At 39.8% G+C, this 24690-nt stretch overlaps 1 protein-coding gene across 15 annotated transcripts in view, besides 5 other annotated features; it reads right to left on the reverse strand.

Moving 5' to 3' along the window:
* SUSD1 (sushi domain containing 1) overlaps positions 1 to 24690 on the reverse strand; it is a 134515-nt gene that overhangs the window by 43773 nt on the left and 66052 nt on the right. For 9 of the 15 annotated variants that reach the window (XR_007061338.1, XR_007061339.1, XR_929835.2 and 6 more), the window contains 3 exons: positions 18574 to 18612; positions 17621 to 17730; positions 13915 to 14107 (listed from right to left, as the gene is read on the reverse strand). Coding sequence is in view for 11 of the 15 variants with exons in the window: in XM_017015037.2 (XP_016870526.1) it covers positions 13915 to 14107; positions 17621 to 17730; positions 18574 to 18612 (342 nt within the window). In the remaining 4 variants the exon portion in view is untranslated. Of the gene's footprint in view, positions 1 to 13914; positions 14108 to 17620; positions 17731 to 18573; positions 18613 to 21187; positions 21294 to 24690 lie in introns of those variants that run through there. The other 6 variants (XR_007061340.1, XM_047423727.1, NM_001282643.2 and 3 more) reach the window with 2 other exon arrangements.
* Positions 7168 to 7814: an enhancer, noted in NCBI's record as "OCT4-NANOG hESC enhancer chr9:114854003-114854649 (GRCh37/hg19 assembly coordinates)". NCBI's record gives its function as "activates a minimal SCP1, AML or CMV promoter by ChIP-STARR-seq in naive H9 embryonic stem cells {active_cell/tissue: H9 hESC(naive)}" and the evidence as "EXISTENCE:reporter gene assay evidence [ECO:0000049][PMID:30033119]".
* Positions 10959 to 11128: an enhancer, noted in NCBI's record as "experimental_106106 CRE fragment used in MPRA reporter constructs". NCBI's record gives its function as "activates a minimal promoter by MPRAs in K562 erythroleukemia cells, with activity observed for the non-introgressed 9:114857879 variant allele {active_cell/tissue: K562}" and the evidence as "EXISTENCE:reporter gene assay evidence [ECO:0000049][PMID:34662402]".
* Positions 13178 to 14097: an enhancer, noted in NCBI's record as "OCT4-NANOG-H3K27ac-H3K4me1 hESC enhancer chr9:114860013-114860932 (GRCh37/hg19 assembly coordinates)". NCBI's record gives its function as "activates a minimal SCP1, AML or CMV promoter by ChIP-STARR-seq in naive and primed H9 embryonic stem cells {active_cell/tissue: H9 hESC(naive and primed)}" and the evidence as "EXISTENCE:reporter gene assay evidence [ECO:0000049][PMID:30033119]".
* Positions 13337 to 13456: a silencer, noted in NCBI's record as "silent region_20187". NCBI's record gives its function as "represses an Ori minimal core promoter by ATAC-STARR-seq in GM12878 lymphoblastoid cells {active_cell/tissue: GM12878}" and the evidence as "EXISTENCE:reporter gene assay evidence [ECO:0000049][PMID:35858748]".
* Positions 14098 to 15016: an enhancer, noted in NCBI's record as "OCT4-NANOG-H3K27ac-H3K4me1 hESC enhancer chr9:114860933-114861851 (GRCh37/hg19 assembly coordinates)". NCBI's record gives its function as "activates a minimal SCP1, AML or CMV promoter by ChIP-STARR-seq in naive H9 embryonic stem cells {active_cell/tissue: H9 hESC(naive)}" and the evidence as "EXISTENCE:reporter gene assay evidence [ECO:0000049][PMID:30033119]".

The raw sequence follows: 24690 nt of genomic DNA on the forward strand, positions 1-24690 counted from the left end.
GTCAGGGAGTGACATTCTCACTCTAGGTTCGCTTCCCTCCATTCAAGTGGCTTTACAGTTTCAGCCACAGGCAGGTTGAACCCATGATGCATTCAATGAGGAGAAAAGGATCCCCAGTAGAGCTCATCCCAAGTCCCTTCCTAGTGCTCTCAGATCCTTTGCTATGAAAGATACGTGCGGTGGTCTCTCATACAAATCTTCCTTCTCTAATGCATTTTTAGTGGTTACTCTGTGTTCTCTCTCTTTTCTCCACCCGCTGGGCCAATGTGATCTAGAATCCTGAAGTTGAAAAACCAGAACTGCAAGAATGCCTCAAAAAAGAGAAAATTAAGCTCTTAATGAAACTTTGTTTCTGCTTCATTTGTATGGGCAAGCGACTCTTGGCAAAATCAATCACTATTTCCTCTCTGCTCCTGTGGTACCCTGCAAATACCTCAAATATGCTTCATATATTGTATTATTGATCTTTGTCTATCACCCCCGTTGAACTGATAGCTCCTTGAAGAGAGAGACATCTTCTTAATCTTTGCACTCTCAGTGTCTAGGGCAGTGATTTAAACAATCACAGCAGCTATGATTGTTCAAATGCAATCAGCAATAAGGGGAAAGCTAAGCAAATGGTATTGCATTGACCCAGTGGAATATAAGTACTCTGAGTAAGACATGCTTTCTGCCCATAACATGCATTTCACCTAGGAGAGAAGTTATGGCCTATGTAAGTACAGTTTTAAAAACAAGGGAGTATATAATAAATGTCAGAAAGTAAATGTAAGTAATAGTTAACATTTGATAGACATTCATCTTGTGTCAGGTATTGTGCTGTTTCTCCATGTGCTTTAATCCATTTGGTCTTCACAACAAGCCCACGATATGGATATTGTTATTCCCATGTTCACAGTTAAGGCAACTGGGACACATAGAGGTGAAATAACTTGTCCGAAGTTACAGAGATAGTAAGTGGCAGATCTGGGATTTGAATTTAGATCATCTGACTCCAGAGGAACTGTGCCAAACTACTACCTATACTTCCTGTTAAAATAGGTTACGGGAATTCAGAAAGAAAGATACTTATCAGCTTGAAAGGTGGGAAGTGGAAATCATGGAAGAAAGAAATCTATGAACTCAAGAAAAGGGAGTGGGCTCCAGGTAGAAGAAATGGCATGAACAAAGACACGGAGGTGGAAAAGTTAGCACGTAATATATTACCGATCAGAGTTCCAATCATCAAAGATAATGGTGGCCCCTTAAATATAACTCACTACGCATCCTCCAAAATATTCTTCAGATCAGCAAGAAGATCAAATAAAACAACATATGCAGTAAGCCGAGATTGCACCACTGCATTCCAGCCTGGGTGACAGAGTGAGACCCTGTCTCAAAAATAAAATAAAATAAAACAACATAAAACAGAAGCTGTCATCATAAAAGGAAAATAGAAAACATTACAAACTTTAAATTACTGTTAAGGCCGGGTACAGTAGCTCACACCTGTAATCCCAATACTTTGAGAGGCCGAGGTGGAAGGATTGCTTGAGCCCAGGAGTTTCAGACCAGCCTTGGCAACATAGCAAGACCCGCCCCTCTCACCACCATCTCTACAAAAAATAAAAAAGTTAGCTGAGCATGGTGGCGGGAGCCTGTAGTACCAGCTACTCGAAAAGCTGAGGTGGAAAGATTGCTTGAGCCCAGGAGGTCAAAGCTGCAGTGAGATGTGTCCTGCCAGGCTGGGTGACAGAGCGAGACCTTGCCTCAAAAAAAAAAAAAAAAAAATCTGTTAAATAGAAAAATAAATATGAAATTCCAGCAAAATTATCTCTCAATCTCCCACAAGTCCTTGTGAAGAGTGAGGGGTGATAGAAGGGATGTGTGAAATAGAAAAGAGGGAAGCAAGGTGGCCCAGAGTAAGCTAGGTTCACTCCCAGCAAGAGAAACTCCACTCTAACTATGAAAAAAAGAAAGAAAGAAAGAGAGAGAGAGAGAAAAAAAGAAAGAAAGAAAGAAAGAAAGAGAGAGAGAGAGAGAGAGAGAGATCTGGTGTATAGACAGAGCACTGACTACAAGGAAAGGATTAAAAGTCCATGAGTTGTCAGGTAGTGGTAAGAAAACGGCATTGCTTCTGGGAAAGAAAAGGATAAAAGGGAAGGAATGGGTGTCCTTTGGAGACTAAGCAGTGGTGGGCAACAGAAGCGAGAGGGAAATGCAAGATCCTACAAGGCAAAAGAGAACCTAAAATGAGAAGAATACATGATTCATGCCCAGTCTTATCAAAACAAACAAACAAACAAACAAAAAAAACCTTTAAAGAAACTGCATTTCACTCAGTGACAGAAGAGGGCACTCTTAACCTAGAAATCTTGTTAACCATCCTAAACCAGCAATTCTGTCCTGGGAATTAACAGACAAAAGCAGTTTGTATTTTATATATATATACATATATAAAATATACATATATAATATACATATAAAATAAAAACAATGCAGCTTGTAAAAAGCTCTACATTTTTTTAAACCCACAAACTGGGGTGGAGGGGGAGTCCTATACATTAATAAACTGAAATAAGTATCCTCAAGCATTTGGGGATATGAAGAAAACTCCTTGAGTCAGAAATTTTAAAACTTCTTTTTTTCTTTTTTGAGATGAAGTCTCTTTCTGCTGCCCAGGCTGGAGTGCAGTGGCACGATCTCTGCTCACTGCAGCCTCTGCTCACTGAACCCTGCTGGGTTCAAGTGACTCTTCTGCCTCAGCCTCCTGAGTAGCTGGAATTACAGGTGTGCACCACCAAGCCTGGCTAATTTTTGTATCTTTAGTAGAGACGGGGTTTCACCATGTTGGCCAGGCTGGTCTTAACTCTTGACCTCAAGTGATCCGCTCACCTCGGCCTCCCAAAGTGCTGGGATTACAGGTATGAGCCACTGAGCCAGGCCTAGGAAATTTAAAACTTAAAACATAAATGGACACAAAAAATAGGGAGGAAATGAAACAGGTGACTAAGTTCAGGAAAAAATAATGAAAATACAAAATCACATTAGAAATAATAAAGACTAAATTTCATGGTGCCTAAAGAAGGGTAGATTGAATAAAAGGCATTGAAGAAATATAGGAAAACAACTGAAAATAATAAAAATGAGATCAAAAAGAAGTTAAAAGGGTCAAAAATAAAGTGAATGAAGTGGAATATAGGCAAAGATCCAACACATGTATAATTAAATTATCTGAAGAAGATAAACAAGCATGAAACAGAATTAGTGTTTAAAACTACAATTCAAGATAACTTTACAAGAATAAAGAGACCTGAGTAGAAATACTAAAGGGATACACTGGGTACCTGTGAAATCTGACCCACAACAATCAACCCCAAAATGTATCCAAGTAAAACTATTAGATTTTAAAGATAAAGGAAGAAATCCTCAGGGTCTTCACTCAAAGAAATAAACATAACATCCAAGGGCAAAAGAATCAGGCTGCATCAGACTTCTCAAAAGCTACATAGAAAGCAAGGCAAGAAAAGAACTGAATCTTTTTAAGACACTCAAACCAAGAAAGTGTGAATTAAGATTTTTATATCTAGCCAAGCTACCTTTCAAATATCAAGGCTATACAGATACAATTCTAAATATCCAAGAACTCAAGGAATACTGTGCTCTTAAGGAATCTACTAGAAAATGAGCTTCATCCAAGAGATAAACTGAGGAAACTTCAGTAAAAGGATTGGTGATAAGCATTTGCTGTATTCAATTGTAGCTCTAAGACAAAAATAAAGATGGGGCGAGGCGGAAGAGTGATATATAAATGCTATATGTTTTCATAAAGTAGAAATAATGCAACTGAAAAACTGAGAGGAAAAGGGATGCAGAAAAAGGAAAATAGAATAAACTAGTTGATTCAATAGTTGAATGTCATAAAGGCAATAAATGAATTAAAGTATGCCATTAAAAACTGTCAAACCAGGCCAGGTGCAGTGGCTCAGACCTGTTAACTCCAGCACCTTGGGAGGCCAAGGTAGGAGGATCACTTAAGGCCAGGAGTTCAGGACTAGCCTGGGCAATATAGGGAGAACCTGTCTCCACTAAAATAGAAAATGAAAATAACAAAATTAGCCAAGCATGGTGGTTGTAGCCCCAGCTATTTGGGAGGCTGAGGTCGGAGGATCACTTGAGCCCAGGAGTTCAAGGCTGTTGTGAGCTATGATCATGCCACTGTACTTCAGCCTGGGAGTGAGACCACATCTCAAAAAACAAACAAACAAACAAACAAAAACTGACAAACCAGCTGAGTGTGGTGGTTCCCGCCTGTAATCCCAGCACTTTGGGAGGCCAAAGGTGGGAGGATCACTTGAGGTCAGGAGTTTGAGACCAGCATGGGCAACAAAGAGAGACCTTGTCTCTACAAAAAGTTTTAAAATTAGCTGAGCACAGTGGCTTATGCCTCTAGTCCCAGCTACTCAGGAGGCTGAGACAAAAGGATCACTTGAGTCTGGGAAGTTGTGGCTACAGTGAGCTATGATCAATCCACTGCACTCCAGTCTGGGCAACAGGGTGAGATCCTGTCTTAAAAACAAACAAATAAACAAACAAACAAAAAACCTGACAAACCAGATGGTGAAAAGTTAAATGAGAAAACAGAAGAGAGGGCGTTTTTTAAAGGTATAAAGGTAACCACTAGAAAAATGTAAACCTTCCTTTAAAAATTAATAAATAAAGCAAAGAAAATCCATCACACAGAGAAAGAAATGCAGAAAATATAACACAATACATATAGCAGTTGTAACATAAAATAATAGGATGGAGTTGAAACTATAAGAAAGTAAGCACTGCAATCTCTATATAAGACAAAGTAGAATTCAAATCAAAAAGCATTAAATATGACAAAGGACCACTTTTAATGCTAAAAGCCACAAGTCACAATGAAGATATAGTACAACCACCTTTGTAAAGCAAAAGAAAGTATAAGAAAGGATATAATAGTTATGAAAGCAGAAACTGGCCAGGTGCGGTGGCTCACACCTGTAATCCCAGCACTTTGGGAGGCCAAGGAGGGTGGATCACCTGAGGTCAGGAACAGCCTGACCAACATGGTGAAACCCTGTCTTTACTAAAAATACAAAAATTAGCTGGGCGTGGTGGTACATGCCTGTAGTCCCATCTACTCGGGAGGCTGAAGCAGGAGAATCGCTCGAACCCGGGAGGCGGAAGTTGCAGCGAGCTGAGATCGCGCCACTGCACTCCAGCCTGGGTGACAGAGCAAGATTCCATCTCAAAAAAAAAAAAAAAAAAAAAGAAAAGAAAAGAAAAGAAAGCAGAAATAATGATATAGAGCGAGAATCAAGAAGTTTTATCTATAAAGGGCCAGATAAGTAAATATTTTAGGCTTTCCAGGCTGACAGTTCTGTCACAACTATTCAACTCTGCCTTTGTTCCAGTAAAACTATTTATGAAAACAGGTGACAGGCCAGATTTGTTCTGCAGGTCATAGTTTGTTAATCCCTGATATTGTGAGACAGAAAAAAAATAGTAGATCCAATTAATAAACCAAAATCTTAGAAAAACTAATAAAATAAACAAACCACTTAGCTAATTTAATCTAGAAAAGGGGCAGAAAATAAAGATAAAGGGAGAAATGATCACTGAGACAGAAGAAAATTCAAAAAGTTAAACGAAACTACTTTGCAGATCAGTGTACAAATAAATTTTAAAACTTAGACGAAATAGGTAATTCCTTGCAAAATCTGGTTTGCCAAAATTGACTCCATTAGACAGAAAAAGCTTAAACCGACCAATTTCCATAGAAAAAAATTGAGAATGTCATCAAGGAATAACCCCATAGAAAAGCCCCATACCCAGATCATTTCATAGAATTTGATGGATTCTACCAAATCATCCAAAATCAGATAGTCCAAATGCTATGTGAATTGTCCCAGGGCATAAATAATGAAGGAAACTTTACAAATTATTTTTATGAAGAAAGGAAAATACCAATGCTTAAACCTGATAAAGAGTGTCAAAAAAAATAGAGAAAAGTATAGACCAACATTACTTATAAATATTGGTGCAAAAATACTAAAGAAAATATTAGTGAACAGAATCTAACGCCACATACGACAATACACAATGACCAAGTGGGATATATTACAGGAAGGGGTAGAAGTGCAAGAAAGAGAAAAATTTGAAATTATATCAAATTTAAAAATTATAAGTAAATAAAAGTTGTTAAAATATCTTGTAGTTAGCTTTCCTTTGCATGGCACTAAGGAATATTTTAGACTAAAAAGTATGTGACCCTTTCTCTGATTCTAGCCTAGGAGAGAACAGTTTTGGAGTCTGTGTCTATACGCATGATTAGAAAATGAAGGTACTAAAAAGAATGAGATGAATCTATTGCCTTCAGAGCCACTTAGAACCCATTTAGCTGAAGGCTCCAATTCTAAGCAACTTATTCATCTTTATGAGTAAAGGTAATGGATATGGTCCCACTGAGCTGGATCTACAAGGTCACTAACTTATCTGTTAAAAGAACAAACATCTACTCTCTCCATACTTGGCACATTCAGATGATTGTATATTCCATGTAAAATATATGCCAATTTCTGGCTTGACCAACTACAAGTATGGGTTTCTCAGGCTAATGGTTTGTAAGAAAAGAAGGTAGACTTCAGGCATAACTCTTCAACCACAGAATACTGTTATAATATTTATCACTCTGTGGAAAAATATCAGAAACAACATTAAATGATTTATGGTCTTAATTATCTTTTGTTTGGACTTTAATTCTGTGAACAGGAATCCATTATGGGGGAAGTTTTATAAAGTCCACATAGATCTCAAATTATGCATGCTGTTCAAAACCTGCAGCAGAAAGCCACCTTAAGAGTAATGGTTTTCTACCAGGGCTTTACTCCCTGGGAAGAGTGCTCTGTTCCTTCTCCTTGTAGGATTTTTTAAAACTTACCAACATTATTTTGGGAATATCTAAATGCATGCAATCTTCTGCTAAAAAGAACTGAATAAAAACATTCTTTTGTACATAAATAATAGCGGTATTTAAATCTCTAATTAGAAGTAGCCTATATAGACAGTTGGCTTTGCAAGCTAAATATTGTCATAAAGAATGGCTATAAATCAACTATCCTGAAAGCAAAGTTACTATTGTATAACTGCTCTATAAATAGTGGTATCATCTTAGTTATCCTTGATTTACATTTGGGGAGCAGTTTATCTTAAAGAGGGCAACAAGATATAATATGGTTCAAAGCTGGGAGCTTTACTGTTATTTTATTGAAATTTTTCTTTAGACAAATTTGGTATCTGGTCAGAACAACTGTGAAATTTTTCAGGCTAAACACCTGTGACTATATTACAAGGAGAGGAATTTTGAGAGTTCAATCACCCATTCATTGGCAGAGCAGATTCAAACAATTCCCTTGGCTCAGCTCCCCAGGCTCAACCTTCCAGCAGAGGAGGCCAGCGTTCAATTCAAGCACAAGTCCTTGTTATTCAATTGGTGGCACAGAACAATTGCTCCCTGGGTACTTATAAGAGAAAACAGTTGCTAGCTCAGTGACACCAAACATTCATCAAATCTCAGTTGAGGGAAACAATATTTAGAAAACAATGCTTGAAAGAAATGGACTCCAGTCATACCTCCAAATAATCTAAATAACCTAATCCTACCCCTGAATCAAGCCAGATCAGCAAACAGCAGGCATTTCTAATGCATCTTTTCTGCCACTCTACACTGAATTGTGCTTTTCTGTGTTCAGGGGCAATACAAAAAAATAGCCTTATAAAATCCTCATAAAATGCTGCTCAGACACTGTCCTATTTATGAGACCCCCTGGAATCAGAAATTTCTAACTGATTCTTAATGTTGAAAAAGAATTGTGCTTCTGAAAAACACTGCTTCGTTGTAACATTATGGACAATGCAATGGTTCCCTTTCTGGCTGGATGGGAAAACTCAAACCTAAATTTTAGAGGCACTAATGAACAAGTAAATAGGTTATAAGGGCATGAATTATTCTTAACCTTATTCCTATATTTTTTATGTCTCTGTTTTTGTTTTCTTTCTTCTTTAGCCTAGACGTCTAACCTATTATCGTTTATTTTATATACCCATGCAGGTCACTTAAAGTCTTTCCTAGAAATAAGACAGAATATAAATACTCTTTTGTTTTAAAAAATTCTACATTTAATAACAATGTAATGAATCACAATGGAAAAGATCAATAGATTTGACTGTATAGCAATCTAAAACTTTTATATGTCAAAAACATCGTAAACAAAATTGAAAGAAACCATAAAACAGAAGAAAGGCAACATAAATAATAATCAAAGAAGTCATGCTCTCAGTATATGAATAAACTATCTATGTCCATGAGAACACAAAATTTGATCAATAAATAAAATAGTGATGGTAAATTAACCAAGAAATTTGGACAAATTTTTCCTTCAAAACAAATGAATTTGAAGGAACCTAAAAGTAATTTAAATTGCTTTCCTAACATAGACTCCTAGAACTATAATGGACCTTTCCTGTTCAAGATAATTACAGAGATCAGTGACCTTGCTTGAGTGTATTAAAGGTTGCTATTTACCTGTCTTTCCAATTCCATAAGGGAAAAGGCAATTTTGGCTTCTCCCTATTCCCTATATGTTAATCCTCAAGGAAGGAACAGTAAATATGTAATCTAATTGGTAGGAGACTGCCATTCCTTGAGTCACATTTCCAAGTAATAAGTTCATATATTACAGGTTGCCACCCAAACAAAAGGCAGACTTGCTCTCTGGGACCCGCCTGTGCACAGGTACAAGGAGCACTCTGGGTATCTCCGGTCTCCAAGAGGTAAGCACCCAGTGTCTGTCACCGCCCTTTCCTCTGCTTTTCGGCCTGAGACTGGGTGGGTAAGCCAGGCAAGGGTCCCTTACAGACCCAACTGCCCATATTTCCAGGGGGAATTCCAGCAAGTAGGAAGTTCCACTTGGCCACAATAGCTAAACCTCATCCTTCAATATAGCTTTTACCTGAAATTCAGTTTTGGAGAGAGTTCCTGGAAACTTGCCCAGATCAATAAAGTTGATCCTCTATTTGTCATTTATCTATCTGTTTGTCCTGTTAATCTCAGATGGAAAGGAGAGGTAAGATTCAGTATCTCCCTGCAAAAGACAGATATACTGACTGGGGCCTTGAGTATAAAGATAAGAGCTGCCACAGCGGAGCAAGGCACCATGATGGAAGATGAGAGCTCCTGGTCTCTGCAGCTGGAATTCAGGAACAGATGAGGTAGGTAGATATCTGATTACCAGGAAAACTTTGCAAATCAGACAAAGCTCTAAGACATAGGCTTTTTAGGCAGGAGCAGATGGAATTATTTTAGCTACCACTTTTTTTTTATTTCAGTCTTTCTTTTCTTATTATGTCTCCGCCTGCAAGAGCTTTGACATTGCCCGGAAGTAGCTAAGGTTTATGTGGTTAGAGCAATGCGACTCAAAATGTGGACTGACAATATCAATAAGGCCTGAAAGCTTGCTAGAAATGAAAATTTGCTCCCCTCCCCAAAGGCCTACTGAATCAGAACCTCTGGGATGGGGCCCAGGAACCAGTGTTTTCATAAGCTCTCCAGGTAATCATTACACTTGCTAAAGTTTAAGATGCACAAAGGGAGCAATGGTGGGAGGTTTTAAAGAGCATTTTGGGGAGCTAGATATTAGTAGACAACATTAGATTAGCTTGCCAAAATTCCATTTCTCTTTATATTGTTTGGAATTTCATCCAGGGCTAAGGAGAGAACTGTAGAAAGACTGGATCCACGGTTTCTCCACAGGCTGAGTTCACCCCCACACCAAGGGCTTTTAAATGGCCCTGGATGATCTGTTTCACAGAAACTCAGACCGGGGATTCTAGATAAGAAACTCTTTGGGGGCTAAAGTAGAAAAAAAGTCCAGTGGAATTATTACAAACTCAAATGCTAAAAAGAAATAGCAAAAAGTGTACACCTAGAACTCTGTTCCTAGAAATGAGATTTTCCCCATCTCTGAAAATAGAATGAAGTCAGTTTACAAAACAGGTTTTGGTCTTGCAGACAGGATAAGATTAGGGAGAAACGATAAGATTAGGAGGAATGAAACAAAGTGAAGGAAATAACACTAAGAAGAAAATTTGAAATCATATTGGCCCAGTTAGAAAAATATGACAAGGAAAAGTTTTAAATAGGGGAGCGAGAATAGGCATTAATGAGAACTCTTCGTTTCTTCCTTAATAACTGGAACTGTGATACTCTATAGTTAAAGAAATGTGAACATGTTTAAAAAGAGAATCATCAGTGAATGATCAGTGTAGAATTCTTCAAGCATCACTAAGTGAGTTTCAAGGTGGCATTGTTTTTGTAAGATGGGGCAACAGGTATTGCACCGGCTATAAGGACATCTGCCTGGGAAATAGAGCTGTATTAAACAAGGTCCAGGGAGAATGAAAATTGATAAAGCCCAGGCCTGGGTTTAGGCCGAACTGAATAGAAAGAAATGCCTCCTAGTGAAAATGAAAGTGGGAAGAAGGTATTTTAACACTGGATGTTTATGGCAGGTCGAGAGCTCTGTGACATCATTCTTTCTCTACAGAGACCTCGGAGGCAGATTCCAAAGTAATATGTGAGGAGAACAAAAATCTAAGTCTGAAAACAAAAAGCAAATATAGAGAAGGAAAAGTACTAAGACCTAGCAAAAGGTATGAGTCCTACCTGGCAATAAAGACGGAACAGAAACAACTTAAATGGAAGGGTAAAGGCTTAGAGCTGAGCAGGACCTGCTAAGTAAGAACGTTCTCAGAGGGACCTTGAACATTGCAGGCTTATCTCTCTGATACAGAAAAGGAAGCGGGAGCAAGAAGTGTTTCAGTTTCCATCAAAGAAGCACCGACCATTTAAGTCTTGGAAATTCAATTCCAAGAAGGTAGGGCTTGGGCGAAATGCCACTAGCCCAGGGGGTTTCCTGGACCTCATCAGACCAGTGAAAGTTCAGGTTCTGGAAACCCAACAGCAGCTCACAGATCAGCTGAGGGTAATTCCCCATGGGAGACAAAAGGGAAAATCTCCTAACCAGGAAGTAGGACTCACAGGCAGACATTCAATAATAGGAGCCTGTGGAGTCCAGAACTAAAACAATTTGGGGGATCTTTCTGGGTTTAGAGAAATTCAGAGAAAAGAGTCAGAAATGGAGACAGGGAAGGAAGCATGCAAGATGATGCATTTCACTTGAAGAGTTTCCTAAGATAAATGTGGGGTGTCCTGCCCAGAAAGAAGGGAGACTCTTTCACTAAACAGATAAAGATCTTCAGCAATGGTGAAGCTTGGGTAGAAATAGGGCTCAAGGGAGCAACGAAAATGGAAAGGTTTTAATCTTTGGAACGGGCATCAAGAAAGACCTAGAGCCACCACTGCAAATGTCTAAAATTTTCAAGGAGAGTACAGTGTCAAAATGAATCCAACTACCCTGACGAGAAGACATTTCCCAATTTAAGTTTAAATTGACACGTGGTAGACTCCAGACTGCTTGGTAACCTACAGAGGCTGAACTATGGCATGCTACATTATACTTACTACTAGTAATTTAGGGAGGCAAAGGAGAAGGTAACAACAGGCTTCTTTCTGAACCTGACACCATGGGCCTCTCATTTATTATACTCATGCTAGAGTTTAGACCTCATCTCTCACCACTGTCCCCAGCTCTCTGCTCCAGCCATACTGGTTTCCATGACATTCCTAGAATATGCCAAGTATGTGCCTGCCTCAAAACCTCAGCATTTGCCAGTCTCCTATACACCAAAGGAGTAGCATCTATTACAAAACAAGATTCCTAGGTTTCAACAGCTAGAACACACTCTCCACTCAGCAGGACACTCTGGCCAAGACTCAGCAGAAAAGATGTAGGATAGAAAAAACTGGGGACTTCATGCCTTTACATTTTAGTTTATTTTACAAGGAGAGGTGGATTTATTTATTCTTATTTCTTTATCTGAGGAGATCTTGCTCTATTGCCCAGGCTGAAGTGCAGTGGCGCAATCTCGGCTCCCTGCAGCCTCAACCTCCTAGACTCAAGAGATTCTCCCACCTCAGCCTCCCAAGTAGCTGGGACCACAGGCTTATGCCACCACACCCAGCTAATTTTTGTATTGTTTATAGAGACAGAGTTTCACTATGTTGCCCAGGCTGGTCTCAAACTCCTGAGCTCAAGCAATCCACCCGCCTTGGCCTCCCATAGTGCTGGAATTAGACGTGAGCTACTGCACCCAGCTAGATTTTATTTATAGATTTTTATTTCTCTAAGAATTTAATAATTGGAGGGAATTCATATTCAATTTGCGAGCATTACTATGCAGCTGAAAATGTGTTGGGGGGTAGGTTTATGATGTCATGAGGTGCTCCTTGTGCAAACTCTGCTGATACAGACAGGACAAGGTGCCAGGCTCAATCTGATAAAAAAAATAGGATAAAAACTGAAGCCAGACACGGTGGCTCACACTTGTAATCCCAGCACTTTGGGAGGCTGAATTGGAAGACCTCACTTGAGGTCAGGAGTTCGAGAACAGCCTGGCCAACATGGTGAAACCCTGTATCTACTAAAAATACAAAAATTAGCTGGGCATGGTGGTATGCGCCTGTAGTCCCAGCTACTCAAGAGGCTGAGGCAGGAGGATCACTTGAGCCCAGGAGGTGGAGGTTACAGTGAGCCAAGATGGCACCTGGCCCTCCAGCCTGGGTGACAGAGCGAGACTCCATCTCAAAAAAAAAAAATTAATTTTCAGCCTCAGGTGCTACGTGGCTCTCATGAGTGTCTAACACATTTCAGAGTCTTTTTTTTTTTTTTTTTTTTGAGATGGAGTTTGGCTCTTGTTGCCCAAGCTAGAGTGCAATGGCGCAATCTCGGCTCACTGCAACCTCTGCCTCCCGGGTTCAGTGATTCTCTTGCCTCAGCCTCCCGAGTAGCTGGGATTACAGGCACACACCACCATGCCCAGCTAATTTTTTGTATTTTTGGTAGAATCAGGGTTTCATCATGTTAGCCAGGCTAGTCTCGAACTCCTGACCTCAGGTGATCTGCCAGCCTCGGCCTCCCAAAGTGCTGGGATTACAGTCGTGAGCCACCGCACCCGGCCCAGAGTCTTCTAAATGCAAAGGCCAAACTGCCCACCCTGACCCACAAAGAGCAGAGGTGAATATCACAGAGCGGCTTCAGGGAGGTAGCAGCAGGACCTACCCTCTTCTGCTGCTTTCCTTCAAAGGGGTAGCCTCTTCTGGTTGCCCGTAAATTTGTCTGATAAACCCACAGGATTAAAGAACAAAAGAAATAGTAGTGATGGCTGCACCACAGCCATCCCACTAGGGGGAGCTGTGGAGTTAATACAGCTGGCACCTATGTGGCTTCCTCAAAAGACTGCAAGGGAAGAATTTCTAAGGAGCCTGACCTTAATCAGGCCTCTGTTCTCTATGTCAAGTTAATTTGCTTATGCGTGGCCTAGTCCTGAGGCTGTATTGCCTGCCAGTGCCTGACACTGTGGGACCCACGTTTCTGGTCTCCTGGAAGTTCGTTCTACTTGCCGATAATGAATACCCTTAGGGTTCAGTTGTCTTAAATTTGGGGTGAGAGATAAAATGCTTTATGGAATTCTCAACTTAGGACTCCCAGGGAGCTCTGAATAAATCAGTCTATCCTTGGTCTGTGCCCTCTATGAGCCAGTACCCTTCAGGGAAGGGGATAAGTGGTAAGATTCAGGCATCCTGAACCCCAGACGCAGCTAACAAAGTTTGTTAGAACTGGAACCCCTGTCTCTTGACTCCCAAACTAGCACTCTTATGCCCGCCCACACTGCTCAATTCACATAGGTAATTTGTCCTGAGGCACAAAAAAGAAAGACGTCTACACCCACCTGCTGGGGGAGTTGCTATTGTTATTTGCACTGAGTGCCGCTTAGGAGATCTCAGCAGGGTCACATTCACCGTATAATCAGTCGTAGGGTACAGATCCAAACACACTACAGGCACTTGTTCCCTCGTTGTGAAGTTAAACGATGTTGCATGAGAAAAGTTAGCCAGATACCACCTCTGACCCAGAACGGTAAACTGTCATGAGATTAAAAGAAAGTGTTACATTAGATTTTCCATTGACTAACAGGTGCCTAGACTATTAGCAAAATGGAGTTAAAACAAGAAAGTTCCTTTTATTTATCCTTGCCCACTTAGAATTACTTTTAAGACAATAGCAAGCTAACCTGAGGAAGGACTTGACAAAGCTACCTTACCTGTCCTCACAATCAGGTATAGGACCAAGCTTAATATGCATAACTACATCTCAGATGAAGAAAATATTAGTCTATTCCAAAATAATCCCTTGATTATAACGCAAGTGAAAGAGATTACATTGGAGCTAATGGGCAAAATTATTTTTTTTCCTCCTTCCCTTCTGAATACTTCGTTCTCTCTCTCTCTCTCTCTCTCTCTCTCTCTCTCTCTCTCTGTCTCTTTTCTGAGACAGGGTCTTGTTCTGTCACCCAGGCTGGAGTGCAGTGGCACAATCTTAGTTCACAGCAATCTCAAACTCCTGGACTGAAGTGATCCTCAGCCTCCCGAGTAGTTGGAACTACAGGCATGCACCACCACACCTGGGTAATTATTTTTACAATTAATTTGTAAAGACAGGATCTTACTTTGTTGCCCAGGCTGGTCTCAAACTCTTGGCCTCAAGCCCACCTCAGCCTCCCAAAGTGCTGGGATTACAAGTGTGAGCCATTGCACCCAACCAAAATTCTTTTAGTTTCTTTTCATTGTAAGAAATCCATGGACAAGCCTCATAGAACAGAGTACTTAAACTAGGTGGGTTCCTTAACCCTACCCATGGAAGAAAAAAAAAACAAAAACATATGGGGACCACCCCAGATTATGCATTCAAAGCAAATGCCATGGTACTTCACTGGACCCTTCCTATTAGACCTCTGGTAAAAGGGCTTTTGATCCATGGAGTCATATCACACACTGTCACCTAACCATCCTCTACGCACTGCCAGCTCCAGCAGGGAATTATAGGGAAAAAACTTTCGTGAAGGTCCTATAAGTAATATGATCAGCCCTTGATCAGTTAGGGTGCATTAGCTGGTGGAGACATATGCTCGGTGTTGCCACTGATGCTAGCACCATTGTCTATACCACCCTCAATCCCTCCTTATTCCCATCAATCACTAACTCTTCTCTTATCAATTTTGACAGTCATCCAAGACCCTGACAGGTGGTTCATAAGGATTCTTCTCTCTCAAACTCTTTGAATTCTCTTGGATAACTTAAAGGTCCTTACAGATAAACCATCAAATGTTGGCCTCAGAGTTCTTTGAGCTCAATGCTATGAACTTCCTTCACTCCACTTTGGCCACCCATATCCATGGCCACAACCTAGACTATGCTATCGTCAGAGCTGCTCCTCCACGGTCTGGCAGTCCCCTATTCTTCTGGACCACTTACTAGTGAGGCATAATGTGTTCATGCGTGTTTAGGCAATACGTCTATTTTCTTTAGCAAACCGCTTTTAAATATTGACTTTTTTCCAGTCAATTTAAAAGTGTTTCACATGTCACACAAATTAACCTTTATCTAATTTTTTTGTTGTTGTTTTTTTAGACGGAGTCTTGCTCTGTCGCCCAGGCTGGAGTACAGTGGTGCGATCTTGGCTCACTGCAAGCTCCACCTCCCAGGTTTACACCATTCTCCTGCCTCAGCCTCCCAAGTAGCTGGGACTACAGGTGCCCGCCACCACGCCTGGCTAATTTTTTGTATTTTTAGTAGAGATGGGGTTTCACCGTGTTAGCCAGGATGGTCTCGATCTCCTGACCTCGTGATCCACCCGCCTTGGCCTCCCAGAGTGCTGGGATTACAGGCGTGAGCCACCACGCCTGGCCAATTCCTACTTACTTTCTATGACTCAGTATAACAGTCTTTGCTTCTGGTTAAAAAAATTGTACCTGGCCTGGCAAGTAGCTCACACCTGTAATCCCAGCACTTTGGGAAGCCAAGGCAGCTGGATCACCTGAGGTCAGGTGTTTGAGACCAGCCTGGCCAACATGGCAAAACCCCATCTTTACCAAAAATACAAAAATTAGCTGGGCATGGTGGGGCATGCCTGGAATCCCAGCTACTAGGGAGGCTGAGGCAGGAGAATTGCTTGAACCTGGGAGAGGGAGGCTGCAGTGAGCCAAGATCATGCCACTGTACTCCAGCCTGGACGACAGAGCAAGACTCCATCTCAAAAAAAACAAAAAAATTGTACCTGGACACACACACACACACACACACACACACACACAAATAAAATCTCTATTTTTATACTTATTTACTTTTATTATTCCATTATTAATTTACTTTTTGTCAAAGCACTCATTATACCATATTGTAGTTGCCTATTTACCTATATATTTCTATCAGTTTGAATTGGAAACTTCCAAGTCCTAATATGTGATATACTTCTGGTAAATAGAATAAATTAATTAATTTTGGCCTGGGCGCGGTGGCTCACACCTGTAATCCCAGCACCTAGGGAAGCTGAGGCGGGTGGATCACTTGAGGTCAGGAGTTTGAGACCAGCCTAGCCAATATGGTGACACGACATCTCTAATAAAAATACAAAAATCAGCAGGGCATAGTGGTGCACACCTATAATCTCAGCTACTTGGGAGGCTGAGGCACGAGAGTCGCTTGAATTTGGAAGGTGGAGGTCGCAGTGAGCCAAGATCGCCTCCCTGCACTCCAACCTGGGTAACAGAGCAAGACTCGGTCTCAAAAAAGAAAAAAAAATTTTTTTAATGTAATACTTACTGAGTTTGCTCTCTACCAGATGACTTGCTAGGCACTAAAAATGACACAAAATAAATCTCAGTTCCTGCCTGAATTTACTTACAATTTTACTGATGATGTTTAAGAAAAAATCAAGTTAAATGAGGGTCAATAGCCATCCAAAGAGTTCCTTAAAATTCCATGCCCAGCTGGGCGTGGTGGCTCACGCCTGTAATCCTAGCACTTTGGGAGGCCGAGGAGGGCAGATCATCTGAGGCTGGGAGTTTGAGACCAGCCTGACCAACATGGAGAAACCCCATCTCTACTAAAAATACAAAATTAGCTGGGCGTGGTGGCTCATGCCTGCAATCCCAGCTACTCAGGAAGGCTGACGCAAGAGAATCGCTTGAACCCCGGAGGCAGAGATTGCAGTGAGCCGAGATCATGCCACTGCACTCCAGCCTGGGCAACAAGAGCGAAACTCAGTCTCAAAAAATAAAAATAAAAAATAAAAATAAATTCCATGCCCAAATGTGAATCTGATAGCAAAATAAGCTGTATTGTTTAATGCATTAAAATAAAATATAAGCTTGAAATGCCAGGCACAGAAAATGATAGCAAGTCACCAAATATAGTATCTTTCTTCAAGTTAGTACCTCATTTACACCCATCTCACATCTTACATCCATCTCTAGAAACAACAATCACAAACTGTCTAGAAGTTCATTCATTTTTAAATACTTTGGATACTTACTTGGAGATCGCCCAAATTTTTAAATGACACAATTCTTTAATGGAAAGCATAAGAGATCTCCTTACTTGGTACATGTGTTCTGATCCAACTTTCCTAGAACGCCTGTTCAATTTCAAACAAGTTTCATTAAATATTGAAATATTGAAACTTCCATCATCTTCTAAGAGATCAACTTCTAAAAGACAAGAGAGAGAGTTATAGACAGCTTGCACCATCTTAGCAAAATGCATCATGGCTGAGTACAAGTGAAACTCTGACACCTTAAGAGAGCCAATTGGGTGTTTAACAGGAATAATATTAAAACTGGCATCAGCAGACTTAGCTTCAAGTCCTGGCTCTCCAGCTTCTCAATTGTAATTACCTTAGCTAAGTCACTGAACCTCAGTCTCCTTGTTTGTAAAATCAAGTAATTCAGCTTGCTTTTCTTATGTCATAGGCTGCTTAATCAAATGAAATATTTAAAAATTGCTATAAATTAATAAAGAAAGCTGTGATATTTTTAGAAAGTTAATCCTATCGCTTGGATCGTCCATAGGAAAATGTCATGAAGGTAAGCATAGCAGTAGCCAGAAAGTCTGAGAATAAGGAAAACGGCAAATAAAAATCAAAGGCTATAGATTTAAACTCTCAGAGCAAGTGCTTTCCAACCTAGAAAATAACCAGAAAGTAGATGACCAAGCAAGAGGAAATTTGCTTTCACAGCAGACAGTATTTCAAGAGCTACTCAGCTGAGTACTAAGGCAATAAAATAATCAGAAAGCAGACTTGTTTTAACCATTGTACAGAAAAAAGTCATTTCATACCTCCTGCAGTCTAATTCATTCTTACAATGTTCTATTTTCTTAATATAGTTTAGAAGGATAGATTTATTACTAATGAATTAAAGAAATAACAGAGAGTCAGGAATAATATCAGTGATTTTCAAGAAAAAGCAAATTTCCCAACAAACAAGACTGCATGTTTTCTACCAATGAGAAAGGTGTAAATGTCTACCAGAGAGAAGCTATTTTATAACTACCTTTTATATGTGTATTTCTCCCGTGGGAGTTTCTGCTACCTAAGAATGAGAACAATAAATTATTTTAGTCAAGATCAGAATTGTCCACAGCATTTTCAATATCACTGACATATTCAGCACAAGGCAGCCAGCTGGGGAAAATATTCCTGCCTATAATTGGAAAGTGTAGAAAGATGGTTATGAGAGAGAATTTGAAGACCTATCATATGTGCTCTCCTTTGTCTTCACAACTTTTATTTTAAAGATTTCATAAGGACATCAGAAATAAAAATGGTCACATGTATGCATGTGATTGTGAGGAATACCAAGTGTCTGCATGTAAGAAATGCATGTATGTAAGAAATACCACATAAAGCTTCTGTCTCTGTACAGGCAGAACAGAAGCAGAAGTACTGTCTGCACAGTTCACATCTCAATGTGATTTTCACGTAAGATAGTCATTATCATCTGAATTCAGGGGAAGATGGCAATGTGAACAAAGGCATCTGGCTCCCACTTCCCACGCCCAAGCCTGACAGAAGTGATGGAGAATAAGTAAAAATGGGTCAAAATTTGCATCTGGGTTGGAAAGAAGGGTCGGTTGCCATACACAAGGCGGAAACATGAAGACATTTCAGCTTAGCACAGTATGGAAGAGCCGGGGCTAAAGAAAGACCCTAAGACCTACTATGCAACCTGGCTTCCAAGCAAAGGAATGTAGTCACAAAGTTTCAAAAGAAAGAACTGGAGGAGAACTAGAGCCCATGGAAAAATCAAGACAGGTCACAAGACAAATCAATGACCCATGCTCCATCTGGAGCCATTTAGCCCAGTGGTTCCCAAACTGCACATCAGAATCACCCAGACATCAGCAGATTTGAAGTAATGCTTCAACGTCTGTATTTTTTTAAGAGTTCGCCTGACAATTCTTCTTCTTCTCTCTCTTTTTTTAAACAGGGTCTCACTCTGTCACCCAGACTACACTGCAACCTCCACCTCCCGGGCTCAAGCAATCCTCCCACCTCAGCCTCCTGAGTAGCTAGGACTACGGGCATGCACCACCAAGCCCAGCTAATTTTGGGGGTTTCTTTTGTAGAAATAGGGTTTCACCATGTCCCCAGGCTGGTTTCAAACTCCTAGACTCAAGCCAACCACCTGCCTCAGTCTCCCAAAGTGCTGGGATTACAGGCATGAACCACCACGCCCCTAACCTCACCAGGCAATCTGATAGGCAACAAGGTATATATTAAAAAAAAATAGTATATATACTACTATTGCTACTGCTAATAATAATAATAGTAATAATAATAATAATAGTCCTTCTTTAGCCCACTGTAGATTAGTAATGGGGAAGGACTTCGAAGTAGAGGCCTCAGGACCTGAAGGTACCATCTGGCAGAGAGCCTGGGTTGACAGAAGGGGCTTGCCTCTTTCCTGCCTTGGTAGGCTGTAATGCCATAAAGAAGCCAGGCCCAAAGCCAACAGCTTCACCAATCATAGCAAAATGCTCAGAAATAAAGCACGGGGTGGTGGGCTTTCTCACAGCTGCTGCCCAAAGGACACTGGGTCACCCAACCAGCAGTAAATCCTTCATACTGAGATCTGACATAAACATACTAACATTATCCAATGAAAAGGAGGATCAAAGGGAAGGCCATCCATTTTATTATGAAGGAAATATCAGACCTAGACAGAACTTTTATCTTCCAAGGATAAGTAATCCAGAATGGGGGGGAAAAACTGCAAAATGATTCTACAAAGAAGGAGAGGGAAGGAAAGGAAAATTGTGCTCGGCAGGCAAAGAATGAGCATATTTATAAAAAAGAAAATATTGAGCAAAAGAATGGTAAAATTAGGCAGCATCTGTTTCATACGGTTCAATAAAAATTTTAAAAATAGATTCAAACAAGAGATAAAGGATTAGATAATAAAAGAACGTGACAGCAGAGAGGAAACTGGTAGAGAGAAGCAGAAATAAAAAGGGAACTAGATGAGACCCAAAGAAAAGGAAATGAAAGTGCAACAGCAGAATTTAAAGTGCATTGGAAATGGTAAAGATAGGAAATGTCAATGCAAAAATGCATATTTGTGTAAGTGCACATAGAGAACAAACTTGTTATATATTCAAAGAAGGCAGAGGAAAAAGACATGGACGATAAAAAGGAGAAAATGGGAAACCAGTGTGGACGAACAAGCAATTCCACACAGGGGTATTTGAAGAGCAAAAAACAAACTTTAAAAAAAAAAAGCAATAATCAGAGATGTAATAAAAGAAAATGTTCCTAATATATAGTTAAACCAAATTCTAAAGACCAAAAAACTCACAGGGGACCGGGCATAGTGGCTCACGCCTGTAATCCCAGCACTTTGGGAGGCCAAGACAGGTGGATCACTTGAGGTCAGGAGTTTGAGATCAGCCTGGCCAACATGGTAAAACCCCATCTCTACTAAAAATACAAAAATTAGCTGGGCATGGTGACACAAGCCTGTAATCCCAGCCACTCAGGAGGCTGAGACACAAGAATCTCTTGAACACAGGAGGCGAAGGTTGCAATGAGCCAATATCACGCCACTGCACACCAGCCTGGGTGACAGAATAAGACTCAGTCGCAAAACGACAACAACAACAACTCACAGGGTACTAGGAAAGCTCAGTGCAAAACATGAACATTTCTATCCGTCCACTACCCAGACGGAGGTTTCATGAAGAGACTTCTGTGTCACTTTCGAATTCCCAATGCCTAAAAAACATCAGACACATAATAGGTGGTCAATAAACATTTGCCGGGTACATTAATAAATGATTAATGTCTTAAATTTCATGGCTAAAGAAGCCTTCATGATACACAAGCTGAAAATCAAATTGCTTACATCGAATTTTTTATATTTTATTTATTTATTTGAGACAGTCTCGCTCTGTTGCGCAGGCTGGAGTGCAGTGGTGCGATCTTGGCTCACTGCAAGCTCTGCCTCCCATGTTCAAGCAATTCTCGTGCCTAAGACTCTCAAGTAGCTGGAACTACAGGCACACACCACCACCCCCAGCTAATTTTTGTACTTTTAGTAGAGACAGGGTTTAGCCATGTTGACCCTGGCCTCAGGTGATCCGCCCACCTAAGCCTCCCAAAGTGCAGGGATTACAGGCATGAGCCACCACACCTGGCCAGGATTTTTTTTTTAAAAGAAAGTCACACCTTCTAACTCTTCTTTCAAAGCTTCCAGTTCCCAACGTCAATAAGAAATACTTCTAGAATTCCAAGAACAAAAGTTTATGACCCAAGAATTTTATCTTCAATTGAGCTCTCATTCACATGTGAAGGCAACAAAAGACATTCTCAGATCATCATGGACTCAGAAAGTATCCCATTCCCTCCCTGAGGAGCAGGCAAATCACCACACAGAGAGAGAAATAGAGATAGAGAAATAATAGAGAACGTGGTTTGAAAAGACTGTCAGTAAGCACTGAAACTATTAAAACATGTACCCAAGGTTAAATCATCGCTACCAAGGTTTCTATAAATCAATATAAGAGTGAGCTCTTTGGAGAGATAATACATGTTAAAAATAAGAAACTGGTAATATAATGCTATACTAAACCAATAACCTAAGAGAAGAGAGAGGGGAAGAAATAAAAGGAAGTTTTAAAAATAAAAGGAATGCTAACTTATCTCATTCAGGGAAAAGTGAACAATATTTCAGTCTTAACACTGGTGAAAAAAGAAATACACACTCAAATAGAATTTGTCTTTTTTAAATGTGATCACTTGTAGAAAAGAAAACAAAATCTATACTATCTGACTCACTGGAAAAGAAAATCTGTGTAACAAAAAGAAAACAAAAGACACAGCAAAGTAGCATTAAAAAGGGAAAAAACAGTCCAGGAGCAGTGGCTCACACCTGTAATCCAAGCACTTTGAGAGGCTGACGCAGGAGGATCCCTTGAGGCCAGGAGTTCAAGACCAGCCTGGGCAATATAGTGAGACCTTGTCTTTACAAAATGAAAAAATTAAGTGATCTGCACACCTGTGGTCCCAGCTACTTGGGAGCTGAGGTGGGAGGATTGCTTGAGCCTGGAAGGTCAAGGCTGCAGTGAGCCATGGTTGCACCACTGAACTCCAGCCTGGGCAACAGAGCTAGACCATATCTCAAAAAAAAAAAAAAAAAAAGAAAAGAAAGAAAAAAAAGAAAAAAAGAGGCCAGACGTGGTGGCTCACACCTGTAGTCCCAGCTACTTGGGAGGCTAAGGCACAAGAATCGCTTAAAACCGGGAGGCCAAGGTTTCAGTGAGCCAAGATCACGCCACTGCACTCCAGCCTGGGCGACACAGCGAGATTCTGCTCATAAATAAGTAAATAAATAAATAAATAGACAGATGAAAGGAAAATCATATCACAAATAACAATGATGTAAGTTGGATAACTTATCTAATCAAAAATAAAAGTTTTCCAGAAAAGCTCTCAATACATGCTGTCTCCTAGAGTACATTTATAGTAATATTATTCAGATAGCTTTCAAGAAGGAAAAAAAGTAGACAAAGGCATATCATGCAAATGCAAGCACAAATAAATTAAGAAAACAATATTACTTTCAACATATAATTCAAGGCAAAGGTATTAAACAGGCTAAAATAAGCCATTTGTTACTAGCGAAAGAATCTATAATAAAGATATCAGTCATGAACATAAAAATCATATCAAAATGTGTGAAACAAACCAATAAGAATTTCTAAGAGGAACAGAAAATGGCAATCCATGTTAAAAATAAACAAAAACCAGAAGTCCTGAATAACCTTATTAATAAAGTTGACTTAATAACAGATCTTATTCCCCTTACAGGCAAACACTCTACCTTATTATCTAGCACCTACTGAAATTACCAAACTTGGCCAAATGGTAAGGCCCAAGAAAATGTCAATAAATCCTCCAAACATACCAAAATGTAATAAAACTAGAAAACAACAACACAGTATAAATGTTACAAAGAAAAAATCTACCACTGTATACAATGCTTGTAATTAATTATTCAAAGGGGAAATCAGAATAGTAATTATATAATGCTTTGAAAGTAAGGGTAAAGAGAACACATATTAAAACACTCATAAATAATTATTCTGTCAAACAGAAAATCAGAATAGCAATTATATCATGCCTTGAAACATGTATCAATGCCTAAAGAATTCTGCCAAAGCTCAAATCTGCAAGGGAGAAAGAAACATTAAAGACTTTTATTATCAAACAGAAACGAATGAAAATAAGCTGAATTTTGTTATGCATTCAACTCAAGAATTTAGAAACAGAACAATATAACCAATTTAACAGAAATATGGGCTGTGCACCGTGACTCAAGAATTTAGAAACAGAACAATATAACCAATTTAACAGAAATATGGGCTGTGCACCGTGACTCACACCTATAATCCCAGTACTTGGGGAGGCAGAGGCAGGCATATCAATTGAGCCCAGAAGTTCAAGACCAGCCTGGGTAACATGGCAAAACCCTGTCTCTACAAAAAATACAAAAATTTGCCAGGCATAGTGGTGCACGCCTGTAGTCCCAGCTACTTGGGAGGCTGAGGTGGGAGGATCACCTGAGCCCAGGAGGTCAAGGTTGCTGTGAGCTGTGATTGTACTACTGCACTGCAACCTGGGTGACAGAGCTGGGTGTCTCAAAAAAAAAAAAAAAAAGAAAAAAAAGAAAGAAAGAAAGAAAAAAAAAAAGAGAGAGAGAAACATGGAGAAGGAAAAATAAAAACAAGAGGAGAAATTAGTGAGTTAGAAAAAGAAAAACAATTTTAAAACCCAAGAGTTCATCCCTCGGGGAAAAAAAATAGTAATAAAACACGCAACCCAAACCAATCAACCTCTAAAAAGAGAAAGAACCAAACTTAGGAGTCAGAATAACCTGGGATTATATAACCTATGACCCCAGAGGAGATGTAAGCAAATATTCCATATGCCATTCTGCCAATATGTGTAGTATATCAACCAAATATACATTTTTTAGAAAAATATAAAAATTGACTCAAGAAAATGTCAGAAACATAAACAGACCCAAAATCATGGAAGAAATTGACAAAGTTCTTAAAGAATCATCTCCTGAAAGGGGTGAAACTTCAACAATCTTTTGAGAAAGTTTTCA

The sequence above is a fragment of the Homo sapiens genome, chromosome 9 (assembly GCF_000001405.40).
Source record: "Homo sapiens chromosome 9, GRCh38.p14 Primary Assembly".
NCBI lineage: Eukaryota > Metazoa > Chordata > Mammalia > Primates > Hominidae > Homo > Homo sapiens.